General features: G+C 39.5%; 1 long non-coding RNA gene across 9 annotated transcripts in view; it reads right to left on the minus strand.

The window, feature by feature from the left end:
- Positions 1–5,637: 5,637 nt before the first annotated feature.
- SFTA3 (surfactant associated 3) overlaps positions 5,638–17,323 on the minus strand; it is a 46,269-nt gene continuing 34,583 nt past the window's right edge. For 2 of the 9 annotated variants that reach the window (NR_161364.1, NR_138601.1), the window contains exons 3-5: positions 9,321–9,448; positions 7,020–7,223; positions 5,638–6,231 (exon numbers count right to left, since the gene is read on the minus strand). This is a non-coding gene — a long non-coding RNA (surfactant associated 3). Of the gene's footprint in view, positions 6,232–7,019; positions 7,224–9,294; positions 9,454–10,065; positions 10,229–17,323 lie in introns of all 9 variants that reach the window. The other 7 variants (NR_138600.1, NR_138598.1, NR_161365.1 and 4 more) reach the window with 7 other exon arrangements.

The following is a 17,323-nucleotide window of genomic DNA, read 5'->3' on the forward strand; positions in this document are numbered from 1 at the left end:
CATAGATAAGGGGGGAACACTGTAATCAAATTTTAATTTACTATAAATCCCCAGGGGTCACCTATTCCTATGCAACTCTGAACCAATAGGAAATGCAAACAGGTGAAGTGAGCTAGGTGGGTGTAAGACAGCAAAGGGTAGGGCCGGGCACGGTGGCTTATGCCTGTAATCCCAGCACTTTGGGAGGCCGAGGTGGGTGGATCACGACGTCAAGAGACTGAGACCATCCTGGCCAACATGGTGAAACCCCATCTGTACTAAAAATACAAAAAATTAGCCGGGCATGGTGACGCGTGCCTGTAGTCCCAGCTACTCGGGAGGCTGAGGCAGGAGGATCGCTTGAACCCGGGGGGTGGAGGTGGCAGTGAACTGAGATCGTGCTACTGCACTCCAGCCTGGCGACAGAGCAAGACTCCATCTAAAAAAAAAAAAAAAAAAGACAACAAAGGGTAGGGAAACTCTGGTGAACTAGACAATGCAGTTACTTAGCTCCAGAGATTTTGGTCATGCAGAAATGTGATTTTAGGGTTGTAAGATCTTAGAGTTTTTTCAAGAGAAGCCAGAAGTAAGTGTGTGTGAGAGAGTGTGTGAGTGTAAATGTGTGTGTGAATGTGTGTGTGTGTTTCCCTGATTTTTAAAATAGTGTCATCAAAATAAAACATGTATGCTCCAGATTTGGCCCACAGGCTACTAGTTTGCAATTCCTAATATAAATCATTATCTTCAAATGTGTTTTAAGTTTCCTTCCTTATATTCATGGACTTTCATTTTAGCAAGGTGAAGTGGCTTGCATTTAGCAGGAATTAAACTCTTAACTACAGTATAGAGCAATGTTGAGCAGGCAGGGCAGGTATTTCTTTTGGTACATGTATCTTCTTAACCACCTGAAATTAAACCACCCGGCAGGAAAGTCCTGTCCTGTCTCAAGACACAAGGGTAGCTTTATTATTGTTGTTATTTGCTCATAATTTTAATTATATTGGCCAATATTTATTGATATGTAAGTTGATTTGTGACTTTGAATACGTGTTTTTATGTATGTCATCTGACATAAGTCTCACAGCATTCTCATCAGTCAGAATGAGCTGGGCGATACTGCAGTAACAAATCGCTCAGAATCTCTGTGACTTAACACAACTAAAGTTTATTTCTTGCTCCTTCTATGTGTCCAACATGGGTAATCAGGGTGGCTCTGCTCATCTTTGTCACTCAAAAACCCAAGCTGAAAGTTTTATCTCAACAAGTGTTTCTGTCATCACTAAGATAAGAAAAGAGAGGGAAGCAAATCACATACTGCTGCTAAAGCTTCTGACCAGGAGAAACACACATAACTTCTGTTCACATTCACTGACCCTAACATTTACTTAAATGAACAAATGCCTGAAAATATCATTTTTAAATAAAAGAAAAAGAAGAATAATTAGGAAGGACATGCTTTACCAAATATCAGAAGATATTGTAAAGGCTCTAAAAACAAATCAGGTATTTGCAGAGGAATAAACAAATCAGTGGAACAGGACATGGAACCCAGAAATAGATCCTAATATATATGAGGATTTAATACATGATGAAAATGATAGTTCAATTCAGTAGGAAAGGTGATTGTTTTAAAAATAGTATAGAAAACTAAAGTTGAACTCATATACAAAAATAATTTCAGATGGATTAAAAACTAGACATAAAAATAAGAGTTTTTCGAGAATGTATGTATATGGGTAAGTCTCCATAAGTAAAACAGTAAACCTAGAAGCTGTTAAAAAAAAATGTAAAAGAAGCAGGCTTGTCCAACCTGCATCCCGTGGGCCACTTGCAGCTCAGGACAGCTTTGAATTTGGCCCAACACAAATTCATAAACTTTCCTAAAGCATTATGAGATTTTTTTGTGTGTGATTTTTTTTTTTAAAGCTCATCAGCTATCATTAGCGTTAGTGTATTTTCTGTGCAGCCCAAGACAATTCTTCTTCCTATGTGGCCCAGGGAAATCAAAAGATTGGACACCCCTCACAGATTTAGATATATTAAAATATGTGTGTTTCACATAATAATAAAAACCAGACAAGTGATAAATTAAAAATATTTTAACACAGATGGAAAATACAATATTAATATATGAGCTCTTCCAACATACAACCCAAAATAAAAAGAAAACAACTCACAAAGGAGCAAAGCTGGGTGGCCTACAAACTTGTGAAAAGGTGTCTAAACTTGCTAGTAATTAGGAAAATGGAAAATAAATTAACAATAAGGTTTAAACTCATCAGTCTGGTAAAAATATAAGTGTGATAATATCCATTTTGGTATGGCTGCTGGAGGAAAATGGTGTTCTCATTGCTGTTGGAAATAAGAATTGTTACAATCCTTTTTGGAAAACAATTGGGCAACATTTATTTTGTTATTATTGTTAACTTGTTTAGACATTAGGATCTTGCTCTATTGCCTGGGCTGGAGTGCAGTGGTACAATCATAGCTCACTACAGCCTTGACCTCCTGGGCTCAAGTGATCCTCCCTCCTCAGCCTCCCGAGTAGCTGGGATTAGAGGCATGTGCCGCTATCCCTCACTATGGGCAACGTTTATTAAAATTAAATATACACATTTCTTTGACTCAGAATTTATACTTCAGAAAATCTAACTTATAAAAATGAAAGTCCCAGTACACAGGGACACATGTGCAAGGGAATTAATCTGAGCATTATTCAGTGTAGCAGAAAACCGGAAACAAAGTAAATCATAATACAGCCATACAGTAAATGAAGTAGAACTGTATTTCCTCTTGAAAATGAAAAATCTGGGAAAAGAGTGTATAATATAACCCTGCTTTCCTAAAAAATGGCCCCAAAATTCTATGTGTGGGAATGTATATAGATTTTTTTATACATATATATGCTTAGATAGGATTATATGAGCATGCATTTTTGAAATACTTGAAGAAAAAAATAAAATACTTGAAGATACATGCTAGTTTTGTAGCATGGGTTGTGGCAGGGGTGGAGCAGCAGGAAAGGAGATGGGGAGGGAGGAGGTTTGCCAAAAGGAAAAAGAAAAAAGATAGTTTGCACAAAAAAAAAAAAAAACAGCATGTATGCTATAATCCCATCTATTCATTAATGCAGTGCTCACTTGACTATGATTTAGGCTTTAGATTGAGGAAGGTCAATCGCTTATCCCAGCAAACACTAGGAAGGACTTAAATTGTTGTTAACTACCTGATGTCAGGTGCCTCCCAGAGGTAGATGACATCCATGTAGGCAGGCAAAGCTTCTCAATGCTCATAAAAGGATACCAGCTTCGCTGTGTATTTGTTGGATCTCCAAAGTTTATGGCTCTGCAATCAACTAGACTCACTCTGTCCCTACTCTTCAGATTCTTATCAGAGAAAATAACCTCACACTCCCCATTAGCCACATGGGCTGAAAGCTATGCCAGTTGGCTGTCTTCAAATAGGAGAATGGCCTCATCATAGTGGCTCTTAGCTAATAATTTTAATAATGATGGTTTAACTTAGGTTTCTTCTAATTGATAGGTCTGGCAAACCTATCTGGGCAAAAGTTTGTAAAAGGAACAAACGACTTGTTTCACAGTAATGTAGACTCAAGAAAGCTGTTGAACCTGGTTGCAGCCTGAAAGTTTTGAATAAATAATAGTCTTGCTGTAGCTACTAAGGAATTGTTCTTCTTTAATTATGGACTTTTCTATCCCTGCAGACCATTTTCAGCCTCTAGTCAACCACATTGTAAGCACGGGGACCTTAACCAATGAAGAAAACCATTTTCAAAAGTTCGAAGTTTCCTTTCTTAGTGCAGATCATTGGGTGTCTCCCAAGGCGTCTCACGGGCTGCCCAAGGTTCTAAAGTAGTGCACAAGCCCAGGGGGAAGTTCATGGCTTTCTGATTTCTATCACTCAGCCCTTACTATGGACCTAAACTTAACAGCTAAGCTAGTGAGACAGAGAGAACATGTGACCAAGTCTAGTGCCAGCCCTACAGCATACACTCAGTGACTTGAGGCAAGTCACTTTTGCTCTCTACAGCCCAGTGTTCTCACGTATACTCCAACACAGGATCTCAGGGAACTCTTTTCTTTTGTTTAATAGTACTTACACAAATTTGCAATTATATGCTTATGTGTATGATTGTTTAATTTCCTGTCTCCTCCACTAAAGCATAATCTCTATACAGATAGGGACAATATACTATATACCTAATGCCTAACATGTTGGCTGGCACGTATTCAAATTCAGTAAAAATTTATTAATTTAATTAATAAGTAAATATATAAAATGAGAAACATGAGTTCATATATCCTACCAGCTCTAACAGCATATGGTTCTCTAAATGCAAAAGGCTTTTATTTTTAAAATTAGGTCATAGTCTTCCTTTGCCCAAACATCACTGAGTAGATTAAGTGCCTAAGTAAGCATGGCTCTGCTCTACATAATTACTCAAAAAAAAAAAAACTTAACCTATTAATCATAGTTTCTACTAAGGTTTGCTTGGTCCCATCAAATCTCATTTTGAAAGTTGATTTCCAGTGTTGGAGGTGGGGCCTGGTGTGAGGTGTTTGGATCATGGGGTTGAATCCCTCATGAAGGTCTTGGTGCCATCCTTACAGTAAACAGTGAGTTCCCACTCTTAGATCCCATGGGAGTTGCCCTGAGAGCTAGTTGTTAAAAGAGACTGGCACCTTCTCATCTCTCTTGTTTCTTCTCTCTTGACATGTGGTCTGTATGTGCTGGCTCCTTTTCTTCTTCTGCCATGGTCACCAGATACAGATGCTGGTGTCATGCGTCTCGTACAGCCTGCAGAACTGTGAACCAAATAAACCTCTTTTCTTCATAAATTACCCAGCCTTAGGTATCCTTTAAAGCAACACAAACAGACTAAGACAGTCCCATATATCTGAAAGCGTTGTAAGATGCCATTTCACCCATAGCTTTGCCTCTTAGCTGAACTACCATTTATGCAAGATAGGTGTTTGTTGTGTGTCCTAAAAGATTTTCAATCTCCCTTGCTGTGTTGTTCCTGGATCTTGAAATCCTAACAGTAATTGAAACATAGAAAGAAAAAAACTTAGAATTGTCTAGTCCAGTGATTTTCAAACTGTATTTTAGCAGAGGAACCCTATTTTGCAAAAAGAAATTTTATATAGAGGCCCAATATTTCCATTCAAAAATGTATGTCTATGTAAATAGATACAGTTTGGAGGGAGGGAAGGAAGGGGGGAAAAAGGCAGGCAGGAAAAAAGAAAAGATATGCCCTTGTTGATGTGAGAAAGGGAACTGCAGAGCCCTCCCCTGCAGGCTTTGCCTCGACCTCTCTATTGGGCCATACTCCCCTCACTGCCCTCTCCACCTGCCCTGCCTGCCCTATAGTGCCCTGTAAGGCACCACTAAGACTAGTAGCCTACGAACAGGTTGAAAGCCACCAGTTTGAATGACTGTCTCCTTTTAACAAAAGGAAACTAAGACTTGATGACTGAATCATATTCTTCTTTAGTATTCCAAATCCTTCCTTCAAAAAGTAAATTGCCTTCTTTTTGTTTCTTTTTAGATTATTCTGTACAGCCTTCCCCGAAGTAATTGCATACAAATCAGATTATCAGTGTTCAGTATACTCTTCTTATAATTAAACCACCATCATTTAACTTTACTCATAAAATTTTATTTGAACAAAACAATTTTTGAAAATATAAAAATTTCATAAGAACTGCTTTCCTGTTAGATACAAAATTTATTTTAAAAATAAATAATTATATTGACCTTTACCATCACTTGTCTAAATTTTACTCATGTTTATTGTGAAGACACAGAGGTGAATTAGAAGAGTATATCATTATACATTGTCAAATAAAGCGAAGGTTTCCTTATCCAAATAGAGAGAATATATATGTGATTACTTAATATAAAGCAAAAGCTATTTCTACCAAAGAACAGACATGCAGTTATTGATCTGGAATTGGCATGATTACAAACTACTCTGCAATTCTTCCTCTCCCCAATTAAGGTGTCTCTCTTGAACTGATTGAAAGCTGTTTGATAAGTATACTTTTTTCAAGATGGTGTGCTCAGTTGGGGGTCTTTTTATTAAACTGAAATTCTGTCATTAGCTCTGACTAGCACCAGCTGCTGTATAAATTCTGTGTTGACGTAGACCTCCATTGGTGTTCCAAATATTGCAGATGAATCTCTCTCTGCCTCCAAAATCCTCAGTCATGCAGTATGAATAATTAACATCTGAAAATGCAGAACAAAAATGGCTTTTATTAGAAGACATGGTACTGGGATCACAATTCCACCTTAACTCCTCAGAACAATGAACCAAATAGGACTTTAGCAATTAAACAAAAGTATTTCTAAATCTCTCTATATTATGTTTTTCCCTGTACTTGATCAGAAATGTTAACATTAAGACACAAATTAAATGTTTTAGTCGTACAGCAAAGTTAAAGACAGAATCCAAGCGGCAGCACATTTTAACTAATGTTTTTCTGAATGTTCTAATTCCAGATAAATTCAAAGCATTTAGGACTCATGTCTGCCATGATTATTCTTTCTTCTAAATAGTTCATAATCCATCACTTTTTTTTTTTTTTTTTTTTTTTTAGAACAGATTCTCTCTCCTCTGTCATCCAGGCTGGAGTACAGCAGTGGCACCATCTTGGCTCACTGCAACCTCTGACTGCCAGGTTCAAGCGATTCTCCTGCCTCAGCCTCCTGAATAGCTGGGATTACAGGTCTGCACCACCATGTCCAGCTAATTTTTTGTATTTTTAGTAGAGACAGGGTTCCACCATGTTGGTCAGGCTAGTCTCGAACTCCTGACTTCGTGATCTGGCCCCCTTGGCCTCGCATAGTGCTGGGATTACAGGCGTGAGCCACCACGCCCAGCCAGTCCATCACTTTTAAGAAAAACCTTTCCTATTCATTAATCTAATATTATTTCTACAAGATGTATGGTATAAGTACAGCATAAAACAGTTTCATGAAATGTCTTTATGGAGTTGAACTTATAAAACATCTACCTGGTGTGGGAGATGTGCCAAGTGGGACTTTTCCTTAATGTATTGGATAGATTTTAGCAGACAGATTTTTAAACTTGTCAAAGGACATTGATAAACTTGAATCCATGAAATGATGCAATACATAAAGATAAAATATGCCATAATAGTACAGTGGCTAAGAGCAAAGCATTCTGGACATCAATTTCTGGGCCTCAGTTTCTCCATCTGTAAATGAAGATAATATTAGTATCGGGCTTATGACGTTACTTGAAGCACTAAGAGATCATGCATGTGATCATTAGCACAGCACCGTGTATTTGTTTTCTATTTCTGCGTAACAAATTACTGCATACTTTGTGGCTCTAAACAACAACTACTTATTATCTTACAGTTTCTAGGTAAGGGCATGGCTTAGATGGGCCCTCTGCTTAGAGTCTCACAACACTGTAATCAAGGTGACACCTGGACAGTGTTCTCATCTGGAGATTTGACTGAGGAAGAAACCCCTTTTAAGCTCACTCAGGTTATTGGCAGAATTCATTTCCATGCTGCTCTAAAACCAAGTATCCAGGCTTCTTTCTGACTGCTGGCTAGAGTTTGCCCAAGGTTCCTCACCATGAGAGCTTCCTCAACATGACTGCTTACTTCATCAAGCCAACAAGGAGAGTGTCTGGAGTGAGTCTACTAGCAAGACAGCGTCTTATATTATGTAACACAATAACAGGAAGAACATCCCACCACTTTTGCCGTATTCTGTTGGTTAGAAGCAAGTCCCAGGTCCTGCCTACACACAAGTGAACACACCAGGAAGCAAGGATCCCTGGTGGTCACCCTAGAGTTTGTGTGCCAAATATAGTAAATGAATGAATAAATGAAAGTGTGAGTGAGTGAATAAGTAAATGAGTAAGTGAATGAGTGAAGTTGGGTTTGAATGTTGTAAGCCCCTTGGACAACAGAAAACATGGGAAATAGTTGTAAATACAGGATAAATAGGTAGGTAGTAGACTCTAAGGTAACTGCTCAATTGAAGTCATAATGCAAGCATCTAACCTTTGTGAAAATAATGTGTTGAATAATTATAGGGCCTGGGCTGTAAGGCCCAGAGAATGTCAGAGTAAAATCTCAGGGATGGTGGGAAATAGAGACCTAAAAGAATATATAGGGCTTTTAGTCTCACTTTAAAGTGATAATTTTCTTACAATTGGAGCAAATGGAGAAATTAGAAATGAAATAAAATGGTCAAATATAATTACATAAATTTTTAACTTGTAAGTAATAGAAATAACTAGCAATAAAAACCAAAAAAATCAACACACATGAAAAATAGAATTATCAGCACCAAGTATATGAAAATTTATTCAAACATGCATGTGAACACTAATAATATTCCCAATGGATAAATGGGCAAAGGACATGATTATATGATTCATGCACAGGAAATATGAATAGTAAAATAAATTTGAAAAACAGTTTAAATTTAATATGAATAAGGGAAAAGCCTCGCAAAGAAAAAAAATTTAAGTACCAATTTAATCCATCTTTTTTTTTTTTTTTTTTTTTTTTTTTTTTTTTATTGAGACAGAGTCTTGGTCTGTTACCCAGGCTAGAGTGCAGTGACGCGATCTCGACTCATTGCAAGCTCCACCTCCCGGGTTCATGCCATTCTCCTGCCTCAGCTTCCTGAGTAGCTGGGACTACAGGCACCCGCCACCATGCCTGGCTAATTTTTTTTTTTTTTTTTTTTTTTTTTGGATTTTTAGTAGAGACAGGGTTTCACTGTGTTAGCCAGGATGGTCTCGATCTCCTGATATCGTGATCCGCCCACCTCAGCCTCCCAAAGTGCTGGGATTACAGGCGTGAGCCACCGCACCTGGCCAACCCAATCAATCTTATTTTACCAGCTGATTACTTTAAGATGAGAGAGTAAACAGTAAATTAATTGCATTAGTATTATTAACCAAAACACCTGGTATAACTTATAACTCACCCTGGGTGGGTGGATATTCGATAATAATTAACTGTCAGTAGTGAGTGGTAGGAGAGCTAGTATGGGTAACTGCAGTCGCCAAATCATCAAAACACTTATTTGCAGACCGTAAGACCACATTAACGTGAGGCAGCTAACGTGGGGGGAAAAGGTATTTAGAATTCTTTCAATTTTACTTATACCACTTTGGTAACTGGACTGCAGTAAAACAGATAGAGATCAGACCCCAGAAGAACAGGAAAACTAGGCAAACAGGCTGGATACTCCACAGGAAGAGAATCTGCCCAAGAACAAAGTCAGCGTCCCTACTTTAACGAATATTCTCATGACAACACCTTGGCCTCGGATGAACTCCTGCTTTGTGACAGCGTCGTGGGATGCAGCAGGGCTGTATGGACTGTTCCTGGACTTGGCACGCAAACAGCGACACAGGTGGGTATCCGCTTTTCCCTCTCCCTCAGGCCTGTTCTGGGTAGACAGGGAAAATCAGTTTTGATGCCATTGATGATATGCCCAATATGTTTGTGCACGTGTGTCCTCAGGTCTCTTTAGGAGTAAGCTATGGCATGTCTCTCATCATGGCCAGGGATGGAAGGGCCAACAATTAAATGAATAATAGTAAGCACTCACTAAGTATTTGTTGTGGTTATTAATGTTGCTTTTACCTTCAGTGGGAAGAAGGCAAATAAAGATGAGTTTTTTCCTGGAATCTAGATGGGCTCTCTTGTGGTGTCAGAGAGGGCGGGCGCCCATGGGACAGCTGCAGCAGAGGGCGGGCAGACGAGGCCCACAGGGGAGCCCAGCACCTGAAGATGATGATAGGCAGCAGCAGGTGGTGTCTGGGAGGTCTGACAGCCACAGTCAGGGCCTGTGGTTTTCAAACACAACTCCAGGCTGACTCACTGAGGGAGATCCAGTAAGCTCTTCAAACCAGTGCCACCTACCACCCCCACAGATTAAGGGCAGGATTCGTCGGGGACCTGAGGCAAGGCTAGGGGACAGAAGGTGTTATGGCAAACAGGAGTCAAGAGGGAAATGGGGGAGGAAGTTGGAGAGCCAAGCAAGTGGTGGTCACAGTACCTTTCTGAGAGCAGTCATTGGTTATTATGCTCTGGAGGAGAGGAGGAAATACGTAACAGAGACCTTCAGAGGGAACGAGCAGATCGCACATTTGTTCTTTCCATATGTCCAGGTGAAGACTGGATGTCAAGCTGGTCCCCACTCGTCTCCTCCCCTCCTCCATCTATAAAATAAATGTACTTTGGTCCTAATATTTTAAGCGCAATTACCCTAAACTCATTTGGAGGTCCATCCATGGGGTACTTTTAATAGTTCTTGTCTGCATTTGGTGAGTCTTCACATCAGTATATCTTCCTTGGAATGTAAATTTTTGGAAGGAAGGAATCAGAGCTATGTGGTTCTTTGAACAGTGTGTAACACTGTAAACAATTAGATGACTTATATTTTTAAGATGAAGATGATGCTACTTATAAAATGAATGAGATTTGTGAAGCCATTCTTTTTTGTCGTAATATGAATGGGACTTGAAAAGTTAGTATTCTGCTGGTGAGAAAACAGCAGTGTCACTTCTAGTTCTTAATGTGAAACTAGCTTTTGTATTCCTCTTAAAATGCTTACCATTGTAATCCCACTTCTAGAAACCTTAGGTAGGGAAATAATAAACAATGTGAACAAAGATATATGTGTAAACACATGAGCACCTAGATGCTTAATTATAGGAAAATGGCCAGATGAAGCTTAGTACAGCTGTAAGATAAAATATCTAGCAGTTATCAAAATTATAGTTAATAATTTTAACAGGAAAATAATTATGTTAAAATAGCAAGTGAAAAAAAAACATGCAGTATTTTTTTCAATTATATTTTTCCAAAGTATAGAAATAATTGGAAAGAAACGTATCGAAATGCTAAAAAAAAAAAAGAGGGCATGAGGAGGAGGGCCTGTATGGCAGAAAAATGGCTAAGAGGTGAGCAATGAGGAAATGAAATGTGTCAAGCAGAACTAAGGAAAGGAAAATTCAGTTTTTTGAATACTCTGTGCAAGCAATGAAATAAGCATTTAATAATTCTTGTTAATAATTAAAGATAAACATTGGAGTAAGGCTACAAGGAGAAAAGAGCCTCTTTCCACAATGAACAGAAACCTCCCATCTTGGCTTAGTTGAAAGAATGGAAAGCTAAGATACTTTGAAGTCTGAATGAGTACATGAGATGACTCAGGTGTGGTTAGGAGCCCATCACCTCTGCTGAGCAGCTAAACATGACAGTGAAACTGTGAGTACACATTTGAGAAATGGGATTTGCTGAGGCCATATATGGGAAGAGGGGATAGGCAAGCCATTAAACCAGTCTGCTAGTTTCTAAACCTAGATGCCCATCCAGAATTACATGAGTAACTATCTAAAACCACAGGTATGCAGCCAAAAAGGCACAGGCCAAAGTAATTATATCAGGGCACAGATGAAACAAAATACGGGATGGGCAGTGCATAGAGAATGAAAGGAACTAACAATGGCACAGTCACCACTCACTGCAGCCTCAACCTCCTGGGCTCAAGTGATTCCCATGTCTCAGCCTTCCAAGTAGCTGTGACTACAGGCGTGAACCACCGTGCCAGCTAATTTTAGTATTTTTTGCAGAGACAGGGTTTTGCCATGTTGCCCAGGCTGGTCTTGAACTCCTGAGCACAAGCAATCCTCCCACCTCGGCCTCCCAAAGTGTTGGGATTACAGACGTGGGCCACCGTGCCTGGCAGAGCATAATGCTTTACATGGGCTTACTCACTTATCCCCTCACAACAGCGTTCTATACTAAGTGTGGGTTTCTGCATTTAACCCCCTCATTATTTCCTCCCTTACATTTGCAGTCTTTACCTTTCTACTGACTCATCTTAGTAATGCTTAAATATGTTCTTCATCCCCTACTTCTCTTTCAGCTACTCTGGAAATTACCCTACTCTGTCCTCCCCTTCAAAGCCCAAATTCTCTAAATGATTAAGTACCCATGGTCATTTCCTCATGCCCACAGGCTCCTCAACCCATTACCATTGGGCTCATGTGCCTACCTGCTTTCTAAAGCTGCCTTCACCAATGTTACCAGGAGCCTCCTCATTGATAAAACTCATTGGATACTTTCCATTCCTTACATTATATGACTTTTTGGCCACTTTAACCTCTGAGATCCAGTTTTAGAGTTACATGTCTAGCTACTTAATGGACATCCCACAGCTTCATTAGACCTCAAATTCAATATATTCTAAGTTTACCTCATCTTCTTTCCAAAGCTACTCTTGTTCCATGTTCTCTATTTCAGCAAATGACACCATCACCAAAGCTGGTCTTCCTTCTTTCCTTCACCCCCAAATACACTTGGCCACTAAACCCCTGTACAGTCTACCCCCTACCTGCCTCTCAGAGCTGAGGTGTACTCTTCTCCATCCCTATAGTACTAGGCTCATATCACCACTCCCTTGGTAGCCCCATCACTGGACTTCCTACCCTTCACCCCTCCACTGACCTACCACCATCTCTATTCTGGTCCCTGGAATGCAGTCCAGGGGATCTTTCTAAAACACAAGTCTGATTATGTCAGTCCTCTACTTAAAAATTTTCCGTGGCTTTCCACTGTCCCTAAAATAAAGTCTAAACTTCTTAACATGGTTAACATGATTCTCTCCAAGTTTCATCTTCAACACATCCCCTTCTGCACGCCACACTCCAGCAATACTTCTTGCTGTTCCTCCAATGTAGGTGCTGTCTTCTCTCTCTGGTTGTTTCCAGTGCTTGAAACAGATCTTCTGACTTTTCTTCTGGCTAAGTCCTTCCACATCTTTAGATCTCAACTTATGTCACCTCCCCTGGAAAGACATTCCTCAACCCCCAGTCCGGGTTAAGTATCCTTCTTCTGGGCATCCACTGTATTACAAATGCTCTTAAAGTGGCCTCTATTTAACCAGCTTACTTGATACACATAATTTCCTTTGTAAAGCACACTGACTACAGCCCTGCCCTCCCCAATGCTCAAAGCTGATAAGCTGCTGTCTATACACTCATCTTACTACTGCTCTCACCAGTTGAATTGCATTGTATGCCTACCAAGTGTCAGATGTGTTTGGTCTAAGTTCTTTTATAACAATTTTACTTATTGTTATAGCTATGTTATTTGAGGAAATCTTATGTAAATTAATAAAATATAAGTACAGAAAGTTGTTTTTATAATGTACAAAGACATAAATGTAAGCTTCTAAAAGTTGCTTTAATGGATATAAAGTTGTAAATGGAAAGAAATCATTAAAAATCTAAACAGATTCTACTCTGACATAGATTTGTCAGTATCTAAGTTCTTGCTCCAATTTAAAGAAATTAAAATAGAAGTAAAACATGTGTATGTATTATGGATGTGGTTTAAATCAGAAAGATGACCTGGGACTTCAATTATTGGACATATATTTAAGGAAAAGTCCTTAGCCTTGCATCAAAAAACTGGCAAAATAATATACATTTATATTTTTATTGAAGTGAAATTCATATAACATACAATTAACCATTTGAAAGTATACAAGTCAATGGCATTTAGTGCATTCATGATGCTGTGCCACTATCAACTCTGTCTAGTTTCAAAACTTGTTCATCACCCCAGAAAAACGCCCTGTACTCTTAAGTAACCACTCCTCATTCCGCTGCTCCCCTGTCTCCTGACAACCTCTAATCTGCTTTAAATTGAAATAGAACATTTAAGGCACGTAGATAACATTTTTAATGACTCTCCACTTTACTGACTTTTTGGATGAGTCTATTAACTATTGGTCCAACCCAAGTTGGATGAGTGGGCATCTGCACATCTGATTTCCTTGCAGCTCTATATTAACATTGCTCATTTCACTGCCTCCCCTGCCTCCCAGACTTTGTGCGCTTTGTAGGCAGGGGCATGTTCGAGCTGTTTATCCATGGGTCTTCAGTACCTGGCACAATGCCTGGCACACAGTGGGCTCCATATTTCTAGGGTTAATTCAGATTACCCAGAAATTAAGTAATATGTCCAAGGACATTAATGGTGAGTCACAATTTAAGCTTAAGTCTCTCTCACAGCACACTAAGCTGTGTGGGAGGTGAACTGAGGCAGCAGTCATATTAGAGTTAATACTGAGAAGTGCTTACTATATGCCTGGCACTGTGCTGAGCTCTTAACAAGTATTACACTGTTTAATCCTCCTAACAACCCTGCAAGATCAATATTATTATTAACCCACAAATTCTGGGGAGGGAGTCAGAGATGCCTGAATCCAATTCAAGTATTATAGGACACCAGAGGAAGGCTGTGAGTCCAAAAATAGTTCAGTCAAATGACTGGAAAGGACAATTATTTTATTACTTTAGTAACAACTTTTAGGACTGATTTTAGGAAAGAGGAAGTCAGGTCAGATGTCTGTAATGGAGCCCTCTCTAGAGTTTTTGCCCTTCTCCGCACACACACAGACACACGCATGCAACACACATGTCTTGGGTTGTGTCTCGCAAGTACTTGGTTATAATTCTTATGAAAGATCCACTCTTATGCTTTTGTTTTGCTCTATTGATTACCACTGTGTCCTACAGACACAGCCACATCTACTGTAAACTGGAATACTTCTAGTTTACATATAATACTTCCTTACATTATATTCCTTACATTCCAGTTTACATTATATGTAAACTGGAATACCTCTAGATCCCACTGCACTTCAGGGCTCTACCATATCTGTGCCTCTCTGGAAACAACTGCCTCCTGTATAGCACCAGGCCACTTGCCCCTCAGCTGGCCACCACCACTGCATGTTCTAGTGGCACTGCCACCAATACCCCAGAGGACAGATGGGCCAATTCTGCTCAGTGATTTATGGTGCAATGGAGAAGAATGCCTCTTTCTATTTATTCTCTCCATCAGGTATTTCCAAAGCAATATTGCCTGGCTCGCCAAAGTCTCAGAGGCTTGGGTGAAGATGTGTCTTCTGATTTTTATGTACCATCCTCTCTTTCTCCCAGGATCCAGAACTGAGTCCATTGAAATCTGCACCTGGGGCAAAGGCAAACAACCTAGGTACTTAGAGTAACTGCTCCACTCCAACAAGTAAAGTTTCATGACTGGGCCAGGCTTATCCCACTTGATCCCTCTCCACTCAGTCCCCAGGCAAGGTCAGATGATTCTGAGTTCTAAAGGTAGACACTTTTAATCTAGAGCTGGAACCCTAACTCCCTTACTTTTATGACCAAGTGTGGGAAGTGGAAGTGAAAGAAAAGCAATTCAAGACCCTGTAAAGGATGGAGCTCAGGATTTGGTGACAAAGACTTTTAGCACCAACCTAGATGCCTTGGTTAAAATGTGTGTGTTGAGTAACACCTCCATGCAGACCACCATAATAGGCCTCTTTGGGGGATTCTGACAGAGCGGGATGAACTCTGTTCCCTCACAGAGCTCACAGCTCACATGGGGATACAGTGCAACACAAACTAACATCTCACGAGCATTCCAAACTTCTGGAGGGAAGAGTTAGGGGTGACTGTTATGTTCTGTTTTTTTGCTTATCTATATTCACTAGTTTTCTGTAACATGTATGTGTTGGTTATATAGTAAAGCCTGAAGTAAAATTAAACAAGGATAAATACTCTCCAATCAGAGTTGGCACCCAGTGCTCAGACAGCTCAGCCCTCCCGCAGTCTTACCAGAGCTGGCCTGGGAGCTCCCTCCACCCTTCTCCTTGAGCATAGGACACAAGTGCCAAAAAGGAACCCTAGGGCATAGAGGCCAGCCTCTTCTCTTGCTCCATCCTCTCTATTATCACTGAACAAATAGATACACTCAACATCTCCTCAAAGCCTTCACTATGCACTGAAAACTCCAAGCTGATTATGGCAATAATAATAATAAATGAGTCTGAAAAGACCTTGCTAATGCTTTTTATAAAATAGATAGGCTGGGTATTGAATCAGTATTGACCCAAAAATAAAAGTAAATGGCTTTAAACAAAATGTTCCTCAGTGTTCTTCTCTGTTATCCATGATTTCAATGTGATCCTAAATATTTTACTCTAAACATCCCATTTTTAGACACACAACCTTTTAGTTAGCTGTTTTCTAAAAGTATATGAAATTGGGTTAGTTTTTGGTATCTTTTTTTCTTTTCTCAACCCATGTAAGAACGATACTCTTACATATATAGTTTTTGTGAACTGAGTAGGTAGGAAAAAAATTGAGAGTCTAAATTTAAATCTCTCTAATAATTGACTTCTGTAATGTTTATATCTTGACCATCATCTTCATCATCACCACTACAAGCATCTGGATTGGACTTGAAGTTTACAAATCATTTCTACAAATAGTATGTCTCTTTAGGGTGGCCCTATTATCCCTGTTGTATTGAGGAGGAAACTGGCAAGTCACAGAAGCTAAATGACTTGCCTAGGATCTCACAGCTACTTCTGGTACAGAGCTAGGACTTGATCTCAAATCTGCTAACTCTACATTTTTTATTCTTTATCCTACCATATTGCTGCTCCTTTTCTTTAGTTCCTATATTTTAGTAGTAGTGGCATTTGGTTTGACTTAGAAAATCTTAAATTAAATCTTTGAGTAGCTACCTTTACCACAGTTCCAGGAGACCAATCTAGAGGTACAAACTTAGTCTGAAAAGAACTCTCGTATCTCATTTCACATCTGTCTACCCTTTAAAATTTAGGCACCAAACCTTAAGGACATGCTTTTGAAAAATCAAAATTGGGCCAGGCGCAATGGCTCACATCTGTATTTCCAGCACTTTGAGAGGCCGAAGTAGGTGGATCACTTGAGGTCAGGGGTTCAAGACTGGCCATGGCCAACATGGCGAAACCCCGTCTCTACTAAAAATACAAAAACTAGCCAGGTGTGGCTACATGCACCCGTTATCCCAGCTACTCAGGAGGCTGAGGCATAAGAATCGCTTGAACCTGGAAGGCAGAGGTTGCAGTGAGCCAAGATAGTGCCACTGCACTCCAGCCTGGGTGACAGAGTGAGACTGTCTGAAAAAAAAAAAGAAAGAAAAATCAAAGTTGGCATTTAAGTTCAGGCAGACAGAGAGAGAGAGAGATAGAGAGAGAGGAACTTAGGTGTTCACGTGTTCTCTGTATTACATTTAGTGGCAAGGCAACTGATGTTTCTCTTCAAAAACTAATGTTTAAAAATGTCTTGGAAAATATGTGGTATAAGCAAAATGTTCTGTGGGAAGGGAGCAAGCTTAGGTAATAGGGAATATCCAGTAAGAGATCCAGACCATGGAGCTAGATTGAAATTTTGGATTTGAGGGTTTCA

This window comes from Homo sapiens, chromosome 14 (genome assembly GCF_000001405.40).
Source record: "Homo sapiens chromosome 14, GRCh38.p14 Primary Assembly".
Lineage (NCBI taxonomy): Eukaryota > Metazoa > Chordata > Mammalia > Primates > Hominidae > Homo > Homo sapiens.